At 38.8% G+C, this 12,863-nt stretch overlaps 1 protein-coding gene across 16 annotated transcripts in view; it reads left to right on the forward strand.

The window, feature by feature from the left end:
• The window catches only part of DNM3 (dynamin 3), a 576,969-nt gene that overhangs the window by 537,924 nt on the left and 26,182 nt on the right, over positions 1–12,863 (forward strand). For all 16 annotated transcript variants that reach the window (NR_146559.2, XM_017000979.2, NM_001350206.2 and 13 more), the window contains 2 exons: positions 7,712–7,938; positions 9,152–9,388. Coding sequence is in view for 15 of the 16 variants with exons in the window: in XM_017000979.2 (XP_016856468.1) it covers positions 7,712–7,938; positions 9,152–9,388 (464 nt within the window). In the remaining variant the exon portion in view is untranslated. The remainder of the gene's footprint in view (positions 1–7,711; positions 7,939–9,151; positions 9,389–12,863) is intronic.

Genomic DNA, 12,863 nt, shown 5'->3' on the forward strand with positions numbered 1-12,863 from the left:
TGAGTTTGCTCACAATAAAGCAAAACAAAAACACCATAATCCTGGGCATCATGTAAATTAATTGCAAAACCAGCAAAGAAACCAGATGCCCTGGCTCCTAGACTTTGAGACTAAAGGCAAAGGATATATTTGTTCCTATGCCCATGCGTGTGCATGCATGTGCACACACATATATAAAATATGTTAATATGATTATTTTCAGCTTCTAAAATCTATGGAATGCTATTTTAACCTGGGAAAGGGCTTCTTGCTTTATTCCCTCGGATTAAAAACTCAGTGAATTTTATTTTTCTAAGGTAAGGATGCTATAACCTCAAATCTGAAAATCCTGCTTGACTAGCCATCAATGGGTCTAAATAACCTTTTCAAGGTTATTTATAGTAGTCAGAGTATGATACTTAAATTATGTTTGATTTAGTTCTTTTGGTAGTTAACTTTTTACAGTACAAATAATACCACAAGTTATTTGAGAAATAGTCTTTTAGATAAGATAGGTTATAATGAGGTGTTTTATAGGGGGCTTTTCTGAATCTTGACAAGTGAGACACCAATAATTTTATTCCTAGTTATCTTCTAAGGACATCTTTTTATTTAATCCAATGATAAATTATGAGCATTACTTGTAAGAAATTAAAATTAGATGGCAAAGTACTAAAAAGAGCCCCAAAGTAGAATTTAGGAGAAATCTGGGTTCTAAATCTGGTTCTGCTACAGACTCTGTTGACCTAAGGTGAGTCTCTTTCATGTGTCTGTTTCCTCCATATGTAAAATACTAATTGTAGTAAGTGTATCTGACTTAGGGATTTGTTCCAGAAGATGGTACAAATGAAAGTACTGTGAAAAATATAATTGTAAGAAATTAATATGGCTGCCTATTTAAGAACTGTAAATAGCCCTTGTTCATATTTCATGGTTAATTTCAAAATTTTATTTCTAAATACGACAGTCCGTTCATTGTCCATGATCTCTGCATTCCTTGACTGTAAGCAACCCCAAGCACTCATGTGAACAATCTTATTTTTAACTAACACTATTTTCATACACGTATGTATTCAAACAAGGTTAGCTGGATGCTTTGAAGAATCAGCAACAGGTAAGCAATAAATTAGAAATGTGGGAACTATGAATTGTATTCTTTTGACCAATGGCTTTCTGTGTAACCTAAAGCAAATCATTTCGCCCCTTTGAGTTGAAGTCAGTTTCTTCTAAAACTACAGTGAGGTACCTCACAGAGCCATCAGAGATTATAATAAAAGTGGCTATAAGCCATTTAGAAAAATATAAAGTACTAAACAAATAGTCTGTGTATTTTTAAAATTACCTTCTTCATTTACTTAAATGAATTCAGGTTGTTTTGCTGTGGTATATCCAGGCACTTGCTTATTTAAACATTTTCCTGATTAAGGATCATTTATCTTTTCACTGTTTCACCGAGAGTCATTAGTGCTGCCATCAGTTCAAACGCTGCTTTGCTCTGCACTATATTAAATCATCAGCACAGGAAATAGCACTTCCTGCCTATAGCTGTGAGGAGTAGCTTGACACAAATTAGCTAAAAGGAAAAAAAAAAAAAACAAAAAACCCCTATTGCAAATCTATCCTACTTTCACCTTCTCAAGAAAAACATACACACATGCACACACATATGCGCACACACACACACACACACACTGAAAGAAAGAAAGAAAGAAATGCAGGGGTAGTTTCCCTCACTCTTCACTGGTGTGTTTTCTTGTTTTAATGAAATGGCTAAACCTCCACCTACAGGATATTATCCTCGGAGGTAAAGTTCTGATAGTTGTCTTGAGAGAGACCTCACATAAGAGTCGTGAGAAAGGAGACTTCAATTAAGATCTGATCACCAAGGTCAAATCTTGAAGTAAAAACTAATAGGAATGTGGAGAAGGCGAAAGTATCATGTAGTGCTGAATTCTTATGAAATTGTGGCTTTGTTTGAAATTTAACTTTTTGTATCTACCAGAAGTTAGTTTTACATATCTAGAATGACTGCTTTTCTTGGGTATTATTTTATGTGCTTTTTAAACATATATAAAAAGGTATAGTTTTATATATAATACATATATTTTAAAATTATATATGTATAATTCTATATATGAAAAATATATATCTCTTTTATTAATGTAGTCATATTGTCGTGGCATCTTATTGTACAGAATGCCCAAGCCTATTTTGTTCATTCCACACGTGACCTGTTGAGTCCAAGGAAACTGAAACAGTGAACACCCAGCACTGTGCCATCTAGATGTATTGATTTTTTAACTTGATTCAAAGTGAAGAGATCTTCAAATGAAAGAACTAATAATAAAATCACAACGAGAAAACTAGTCTTTTGACTCCTAATTCTAAATTCTATTCACTTAACCCTGCTGCATCTTTAAATGAGTTTGGATCAAAAAGCTAATTGTTCCTCCAGAATCAATAAATGCCTAAAACACGGTCCTCTATTTCTTCCTGGTCTATCAAAAGCGGTGTTCTGGCCTTTCCTCTTTGAAATGGGAATGAAAAAGAATATGTTTCGGCCTTCTGAAAAAGAATATGTTTCAGCCAACATTCATAAAGTTCAGAATTTGGTGGGCAGTTTCCTTTGAAAGTTTACATTAAGTGTTCTGCCACTCAAATCTCCATATGGAATTGTTTAAGAAGTTTAAAGCCTAGCAATAAATGCCTTGCCTCAGACATACTGTAAGCCTTTGTCTATTGAAATGCAGCAGCTGTTTCATTACTTAAACATACCAGGTAACAGCAGCACAAAGAAATAGCAAGTTTATGACAGACGGTCTTTCTGGACAGGCTACAGTCAAAGCAGCAGAGTTTTGCTCAGGACTTTAAAGCTAACACACACATAACACCCCATGGTAAGCCCATTTGGATGGCCTCTTCTCTGTAGCTCACCCCACCAGAAGTTCTCCATCAAAGAATGAAGTGGATCCAGCTTTATTCTAAAAATGTGTTCGGTGTGGCAAAGTGGCACATAATTCTGTTTGAACCTGTCAGCCAACCACATGTTGGATACCCATTATTTTCCACAGCTTATAAATGAAGAAATTGAGGTTCTGAGACATTGACTTGCCCAAGATCACACAGCTGGGGGTGGCAGAGTTAAGACTGAAATCCAAGTCTTCTCACTCATAGTCTGATGTTCTCACCATTTGAACATTGGATAATGCACGTGACAGGGTTAGGAAACTCTAAGTCAGCCCTCTCCAACTAGAGGACTCCTACCCCCACAGGGTATTCATGAGTTATTTTCCCAGACAGTTAATTTTACTTGAAGATTTAATTAGGATTTGTTTGAAGGTGAGAAGCAATGTTTGAAATCTTTCTCATATTTAAGCAAACCCAGATAATACAAAAGAGAATGTAAACGTTCTTAGGAATTTTTAAAAAAACCAAATTTGAAACATAGAGCCATTTCACACTGGAGTGTGTGCTGTAGCCTGCGCCCCTGGACCCCTCTGGAGGTCCACATTTACTCTCCTTGGCCATTGGCATTTTGGTGGAAAATTAGTAACATGTGCCCTAGTTTCAAAACTTACTGTAACTTTAATGCGTATGAAGTAAAGTGTTATTTTAAATGTTCATTATTTTAGGGGAAAGTACATCTTAAATACCAGAGCTTTATCCTGGCATTTAAAGCACTGATTTGTTTCCACCAGCCAGGAATTCAGCACACTGCTCAAGAAAAAGATCACGACTAGGACTCCCTAAGTCCCACTCTCTTCTCCCCTGCCCCCACCTCCCATCATTGCTCCCCGCCAAGGCTAACACTCTTCTGCTTTCTTAAATTGTAGATTAGTTTTGCCTGTTTTTGCACTTGGGAATCATATACTATACGCCTTTTGTGTCTAACTTCTTTTCCTTAACATTACATTTGTGAGTCAAAGGATGTTACTTTTTAAAGCAGGAAAACTTCCTTGGTCTTTAGCAGAATTAAATCCCTGGGAAAAGGAAAGGAGGACTAAGCAGATGTGAGAGAATTGTGAGATCTCAAAGATCACAAAATTCTAACCAAGCCCCCTCCCCAAAACTAAACAAAATTAAACTTCTCAATTGAATTTTAATACATGTATTGTGTGAATGAGAGGCATCACCGTGTTCCGTACTGTGACCCTCCAATTCTAGAAACAAAGAGATTTTAAGGAAATGGTCTCCTTGGTAACTGAACTGTAGGAAACTGTAGGAAAACCCTAGAAATGTCTCTTCTATTTGTGAAGGGTTTAAAATGGTCTCAGTCATAGAAAAGAAGGTTTAAGATCCAAACATATTACGGGTTGCTAGAGAAGGGTTAAAGTAAGAGAGGAAAACATGTGGAACATTTTTAATGACCTCACATTCCTTTACACTGAGCAGAGCGACATGGTGCAGTAATGCCTGTTTATCTAGCCTAGAGAGTTTGAGCTGGAATGAGGTTTCATGTGTGAGAACTTTTACAAACCATACAGAGATGTATAGGTTATAAGGTGTTATAATTAAAAACATAAATATTATTTCAGATCTCAAATTTAAGTATAATCACTTTGTTATGTTAGGTGAAGTATTTTCTAAATGCTATCATCTAAAAGGGATTCACTTGACCCCTGATTGTCATGCAGAATTCTTGATTTAAATATTTGTACCAGATTTAAATGTCTGTATACCACTGGCATACAGACTTCCCAGAAAGTCCCTGAAGTGTCTGGAAACTCCCGGAAGTCCCCCTACCTTCATTCCAAACTCCAATTTTAGTGTCACAAAGCTAGGTTAGCAGAAGGAGAGAAGAGTATCTCTAAAATTTTGCTTAAATGCAAAATAAAAAATGTTAACCTCTATGCCCTATTTAACTATGTCGCTTGATACCTGTACTGTTGCAACAGCTGTCTATTGTTCTCCTGTCTCGATGTACCTAATGCCAATGTAGCCTATAGACAGTAAAAATCACAGCATTTTTTGGAAGGGGCACTAACTGTGTGCTGGGCATCATGCTAGACAACTTGTATTCATTCCTTCCTTTAATCCTCACAATACTTGAGGTAGCTCTACCCTCATTTCACAGATGAGGAACCTGAGACTCAAACAGTTTACATTATTTGCCCAAGAACAGTAAGTGTTAGAACTAGAACTTAAATCCACAGCCTATGCTCTGAATCCACTGTATTGCACAGTAGGCAAGTTCCAGTGTGTCATAATTGCTGTGGAAGATTCAAGGCACATCTTTGGTCAGAATGCTGAAACAGGCCCTTATTTTGCTTCATGGTTTGACAGTTGATTCTTAATTCAGCTCTGCTTTAAATCTATTCTTGGAAGAATCTTCTTTTAAATTGTATTTAATAGATTCTAAGTGATATTCCAGTAATATGTAAAGTTTCTAAAGAGCTTAACCCAACCAATGGTCAATGCCAGGAAAATTGTCTGGTTTTGAGTTTTGAATTGCACCATGCATCCAACTGCATATACATACCCAACAGTGGGAGATTTGTGCAAATATCCATGATTCCCTGCATACCTGCAAGTACATTTAGAAGTGAATGCGTCTGTAAGGAAGGGAATGAAATATTCCTAAAGCCAAATTTGCTGCCTTCCCTCTAAATCTGACTTTCTTTTCTGATGTTTGAGTTTCTATTCTCCTACTCATCCAAATGTCAATGCTTGAGATGTCTTTGGTTGTTCCTTTCTTCCTTGCCCTTCACATCCCAACAGCACCAAGTTCAGTTCATTATTCCCTTATAATGTCATTGTATGTATCCATTTTTTATACTACTGCGTTATTAAATGAAACATTTACCATCTTATGAACGATCTACAATAGCCTTCTAACAGATTTCTTTATTTTCACTACCACCCTTGCAAAGTCTTTTTCAATGTTAGCCAGATTAATTTTCCTAAAACTCTCTTTTATTGTTTCACTTACTTGCTTAAACGCTTTCGCTGGCCCCTCATTGCCAAGCAAATAAAGTTCAAACACTTTTCCTTGGCATTCAAGGCCTTCGCATCTGCCTCAGGATTCCTGGCCAAACTTACCTTCCACAACTATCGTGCATAAACCTCTACTCCACAGAGGGTTTCCTAAATACATCTTGTGTATTAGATTACTTTCACCTTTGAATCACTCTTGGTTTACAAAATATGTACAGAAAACACTTTATTTCACCACAATAAACCTTTGATTTAGCTGAATTTTTTGATTAGTAGAATTATTTACATGTTTTGATGCCTTTAAAACATAATGAAGCTATGTGTTTTAGGTTCTTGTCATCTCTGAATTACAAATTTAACCATATCCTAGAAATTTGGAGCATCTGACAGCTGTTCTGTTATCTGCCTGATTTTTTAACAATTAAATATATACTTGCGTTTGGCCTTTCTTAAAGATATTCATGAGTCTAGATAAGAGTTAGCTTTCTCATGTAACAGAGAAACTGAAAAATTCAAACGGCTTATTTTTACTAGGCTTAAGTTAATTGCTGCACTACTGTAAAATAATGATACTTAAACAAAAATTTACTTTTTTAAGCACTCAATCACAGTGAGATAATGGGGTAAGGGAATGGGCACCGGACTTCAAGTCAGAAGGTTATGGATTCAACTGAATGCTGTGTGACCTAGCACAAGATACTTAAATTCTTGGAACTTGTTTCTGTATCTATAAAACTGGAATACTAATACATGTTTCTTCAGTGTGTGATAAGAATTGTCATATAACTTATGAAGCCACTTGGTATATACCATACTTCATCGATTCTCACATTCACTTCTTTTTATTTAATATTTCTGAAATGAAGATGCATCTTATACTCAATGGCATCTTGACATCCTGTCAAAGTTTGATTGATGGTATTTTTTTTTTGTCTGAATAGTCAGCACATATGATAGTAGTGTTTCTTAAAATCACTGGTGTCTTAGAGTTGATGAGATACAGTAGCTGGCGTTCCCACTCTCAGTGTTGTGCACCATATTCATCCTCTCCATTTTCATCCTGCAACAAAATGCCCCTCCCCCTGAGACTCCCACATAGTGTTCATACTTTAGTTTGTTTTTATATATTAGCTAACTATGCAACCTCATGTCAGTCCCCATCACTGTTAACTAACTTCTATTGTAAACTTCTGGAAAACAGAGTGCATCTCTTTCACTTGTTTATAAATCAACCTGCATAGTTATATAAGATTCTGTATTTAATAAATATTCACTTACTGGTGCTAATTTCACTTTTGAGACGACACTGAAACTTGGCATCTCAATAATTTTCCAGTGATTTTGGTAAAAGCTAGGGAAAGGACTGCGAATGCCAAGGAATGGAAAACGTGTGATTACATAGGTTTCTTCACATCACTGTTTTCTGTTGAAAATACTGCTTCTTACCTCATAGTACCTTCCCTCTTCTATAAGCCAAACAGCTCCAGACAATATTGTGAAATGCTCACAAAGCCAGCAGGCCCTGTTCTGGTGATGGCTGGGTTTGGCCTTCTTCTACTCATCTCTATCATCCTTCAGTGTGGACAGCCAAAAGACAGAGGGAAACTGTTACTGTCACCAGTACTGGGGATAGAGACAAAACAAAAGTAAACAGACGCTTGGTGCTTCACTTTTCCCAGGGTGGACTTTGGTGGACTTTGGTGGACTTTGTCCAGACTCTGACTGCCACAGCCATGTTTCTACCTCCACTCAGTCACTCATTTATTCCCATTTTTATTTCTCTGTGGTGATCTGACAGGTTAAAGATTTCATAAATTCCGAGCTCCTAGCACAGTTGTATTCTTCAGAGGACCAAAATACCCTGATGGAGGAATCTGCTGAGCAGGCTCAGCGCCGGGATGAGATGCTTCGAATGTATCAAGCACTGAAAGAAGCCCTTGGGATAATTGGGGACATCAGCACAGCCACCGTGTCCACTCCGGCACCCCCTCCAGTGGATGACTCCTGGATACAGCACTCTCGCAGGTAAGAAGATGGCCCCGGCCGGGTGCGGTGGCTCGCTCCTGTAATCCCAGCACTTTGAGAGGCCGAGGCGGGCGGATCACGAGGTCAGGAGATCGAGACCATCCTGGCGAACATAGTGAAACCCTGTCTCTACTAAAAACATAAAAAAAATTAGCCGGGCGTGGTGGCGGGTGCCTGTAGTCCCAGCTACTCGGGAGGCTGAGGCAGGAGAATGGTGTGAACCCGGGAGGCAGAGCTTGCAGTGAGCCGAGATCGTGCACTGCACTCCAGCCTGGGTGACAGAGCAAGACTCCGTCTCAAAAAAAAAAAAGAAGATGGACCCACCCACAACCCCTGAGCCCTGCCACGCTTGTCCAATATCATTTTCTGAGAGTGCTTTCCTAAACCAAGATGGACCTACAGAAAAAGGGGAAAAGATATTTACATTCAGGAGTAAGGATCAGATTATACTAACTCCCTTAAAAATGCAGCACAGTGCATCCTCACAATGGAATGTTATATAGTCACTAAAAAGAACAAGACAGTTCTATTAAGTCCTAAAATGAAAAGATAATCCAGTTAACGGGAAGCTTTAAAAAAAAGGGAGGTTGTATGCCAGGCGCGGTGGCTCACGCCTGTATTCCCAGCACTTTGGGAGGCCGAGGCAAGCGGATCACCTAAGGTCAGGAGTTTGAGACCAGGCTGGCCAACATAGTGAAACCCTGTCCCTACTAAAAATACAAAAATTAGCTGGGGGTGGTGGCGCACACCTGTGATCCCAGCTACTCGGGAGGCTGAGGCAGGAGAATCGCTTGAATTCAGGAGTCAGAGGTTGCAGTGAGCCGAGATCACGCCACTGCACTCCAGCCTGGGTGACAGAGCGAGACTCCGCCTCAAAGAAAAAAAAAAGGAGGTTGTAGAAGACTGTGTTCTATGGTATACAGAAAAGCAATTTATATATAGAGAGAGAAAATATATACTTATACAAATGTAGAATACAGTTAAAAAGGATGCACAAGAAACTTCTATAGTTGTTTCAACAGAGTGAAGGGGTAGGGAGAGGAAAACTTACTTTTCTCCATTTACCCTTTTATCCCTTTGACTTTCATGACATGAATTGGACTTATTCAGTCAAAAAATAATTTTTAAAAAGCAGGAAGTTACAAAACATTTTTAGAGATTAATTCAGACAGAAAGGAGGAGTGAGCAAACTATGATTTCTCTTTTTCCTCAGGTCACCTCCTCCAAGCCCCACAACCCAAAGGAGGCCAACACTAAGTGCTCCCCTCGCAAGGCCCACATCCGGCCGAGGACCAGCTCCTGCCATTCCCTCTCCTGGCCCCCACTCTGGGGCTCCTCCAGTCCCATTCCGTCCAGGCCCATTACCTCCTTTCCCCAGCAGCAGTGACTCCTTCGGAGCCCCTCCACAAGTTCCATCTAGGCCTACGAGGGCCCCGCCCAGTGTCCCAAGGTAAGGCATGGAGCAGAAATTGGGGGGGTAGTGCGCCTTGGTTCTCTTCTCATAGAATGACAGACAAAATTTATTTGAAAGAGAAAATTGCAAAGATCTTATCGTACGTGTTTGCAGTTTTCACAATGAACAGAGACTATAGGAAAATTGCCAACCCTGTTATGCCATTTAAAAATCACTTGTGATCATTGAAATTTCTCATTTATCAATTGGCACAGACTAAATAGGACTAAAGAACACTCCGTCCCAATGAATGACATTTTGGCAGCTATTGGGAGAATTTGAGGGCTTTGAAACAAAAGAGCTATGGAGGATTGTAGCAAGCTGTGTGTTCTATAGGTCATGAGAGTTCCATGGACTAAAGTCTTGCCTTCTCCATTATCAAAAGAATTCTTGAAAACCACTGACTTAGAGAATTTTATCCATCTGCCTTCTGAACTGTGATCCTTATACTCAATTTTACCAATTTTCATATAGGCTGAATAAATCTGGCTGATTGATCTGCAATTGTTTTTTTAAAAACTACACATAGAAATTTTAATATAGGCATGATTGTTGTATACAGTCACTAATCATATATAAGATAGATCATTGTACATCTGAATAATACGTGTTGACAATTATAAGTGGATTTTCAGGCTTAATTGTGAAACAATATAGCTAATAAATAATGGACCTAGAAACACACATAGTTGGAGCTGTAGTCTCACCTTCATATACTTACAGTCAAAATATACACAATGAATAGAATCAGAGATTTTTAAGGTATAAAGTACTAAGGTTTTTTTCCCCCTCAAAATCAGAAATATAAAGAGGAAAGAAAATTAGCCCATATATAAAGTTAATTTTTAAAAAATTCAATTCAGAGAATTAAAATATTTATATACTCCATGAAGGAATATCTGACTGTATATGAACCATAAAAACAGATGTGACTTCTACCCATCCCTGAAGCCTGAGCCACCTTGCCAACTGATTATGGCACTTACGTTTTATTTTAATCTTCAAGTTGTTAAGCGTAATGAAGAGAAGAGAAGAAGGGGGATCTTAAGCTAGTACACAGAGGGTGGTACAGCAAGAATAGGCAGGAGATTTGCAGTCAGAAGACCTGGGTTACTGAAGGTCTTGGGCAACTCATTTAACTCTGAGACGGGAGTTCTTTATCTATGAAACAGGGAGAACTCAATAAGGTTGTTCCCCAGATCATATGACATGAGGTATTTGAAAGAGTTTGATACACTGTAAAGACTACAGTTGTTACCACTGTTATCATTTTGGTCCTAAGCAAAGAGGATATATACACACTCTCAATCCAATTTTTTTTCTCTAAATTCAATAGACTTGGCTTATAAATTATTTGGAATGGTGCTAAATTTCTAGTAATAGCAGTACTAGCAATAGCCAACATTTATTGTGCCCTCAATATTACTAGGCATTGCCCTAAGAACTTTGTATATACATTTTTGTTTAAAGCTCACAACAAATAGGTTGTTATCCACATTTTACAGATGAGGCAGTGAGGTTAAACAGCTTGCCCAAGGCTGCTCAGCCAGTCCCTAGTGGAGCTGGACTTTAATCCCATGCAGTCTGCTTCCAAAGCCATTTCCTGACCATGACCCCAGGGTTTTTCAGCCTCATCAGTACTGACGTTTTTGTTGTGGAGGGCTGTCCTGTGTATTGTAAGATGTTTAGCAGCATCCCTCCCCTCTACCCTCTAGATTTCAGTTGCAGTCCCCAGTTGTGACCACTAAAAATATCTGTAGACACTCCCAATGTCCCTTAGGGGAGTAAAATTCCTCTCCACGTGAGAACCACTGCACTGTAGTATTCAAAAGAATTCCCTTCCATGTAAAACCATGAATTTCCGCATTGAGCCTTGCTACAAGCAAGATCCAATTTATTATTTTAGAAAACCTCAAATTGACTAGGAAAGTGTCTGCCATTGTACCAGGAAGGTATTGAGGCCATTGGAAGAGGAAGAGTTGAGAGTGGGAAGGCTGGAGTGCCATGCAGGAGCTACTTTTGTCTGTCTAGCTGTGAGAAAAAACCAGAGCAAACTGGTGGTGCCTGTCCTGGGGAATGAACATGCATGTTCTGCCTGCTTGCTTGACTGCTTTACCTGTGGGTTTCAGATGAGCTAGCTTGCCAGTACCCTTCAGAAAAATCAACTTTTGAATGCTAAGCTGACTTGTTAAGCAGGGTGGAGTTGCCGTTAGTATTTTCCAGCTCGCACGAACAAGGCAGCCGGATGAGAATGAGTAGCCCGAGCTGGATGGCCGGCACATGGGCAGCAGGGCTTAATGAGACTACATTAGGGAATTTATAGGATGACAGTTGCCTTATTTGAAATTTCTAGAATACTCTCAAGTTAGAACCAGACTTTACTTGATCTGGCCATGCAAAGAGTCCCAAATTTAAAACAGAAATGAAAGTACAGGGTAAAAGAGGAAAGTTTGTTGTTTTGTGCTGAGCCTTCAAGTTTCTGTGCTGGTTCAGCGCTTTGGGAGGGAAATCCCGGGGAAGGGGGCTGGGGGAGGGGTGGTCACCTGAGAGAGGGCAAGAAAGACTCTGTCAGGATCCCCATGCCTGTTAAATCCAGCTTTAGATGGAGAGTTCTGACCACATAAAGTCTGTTTTTAATAAAAGCCAGAGCAGGAATCCTACCAAATACAAGCCAGAAATGGGGTTTAAGATTTCAAAAAAAGAAAGGAAGAGAGAACGAGAGAAAGAAAGAAATTGAGAGAAGCGCTTGTTGAAACTTCACCTTATTCTGTTTGTTTAATATATTCTATTTCCCCTCTGTGCTTTGCCTCCATTTTCTCTATCAAAAACTTAGAAAGTTGAAATGCCATTATCCATCATCTCTGGGAAAACAACCCTTTGTTTTCAGAGAAGGAAGTTTGATTTTTTTTTTCAAGTTTTTTACTTTCTTAAGGGTCCTTTCTCCTCTTGTATCTGAAACCAGAAACCTATAACATGACAAGACAGCACAAAAGGTGTCCCGCCAGCTCCCTGTTGGGCTTTAATATTACAAAGGCAATAACTGAACTTTTAGAGACAAGAGATTCTGCCATTCAGCATGGGCTTGTGCATAGTTTTCTTCTGGATAATTCACGACTTCATTAGCAAGTTATGATCTTGACTTTTAAGAGCATATATACTTTTATGTTAACGCCATTCAAAGGTAATCAAAGCACACTTGCAATTGTACAGAAACCATGAGTGTTCTGCTTTTAAAAAATATATATTATTGTATCTTTCCATTCCAATATAAAAGGAGAGGAAGGAGAGAGGTGGTGGAGTCATTTTTGGCCCAGCTTTTCTCAGCTGCTCAAGCTGTTCTGGTTTATGTGCATGGAGCCTTTCAGTTAGGGAGCTGGAAATATTGCAAACTACATGCCTGTTTTAATTAATTCCACTTGAACTAGAGAAGCATCTCTATCCCAAAGAGATTCACTAGTATGTATGCTTCTGT

This window comes from Homo sapiens, chromosome 1, assembly GCF_000001405.40.
Source record: "Homo sapiens chromosome 1, GRCh38.p14 Primary Assembly".
NCBI lineage: Eukaryota > Metazoa > Chordata > Mammalia > Primates > Hominidae > Homo > Homo sapiens.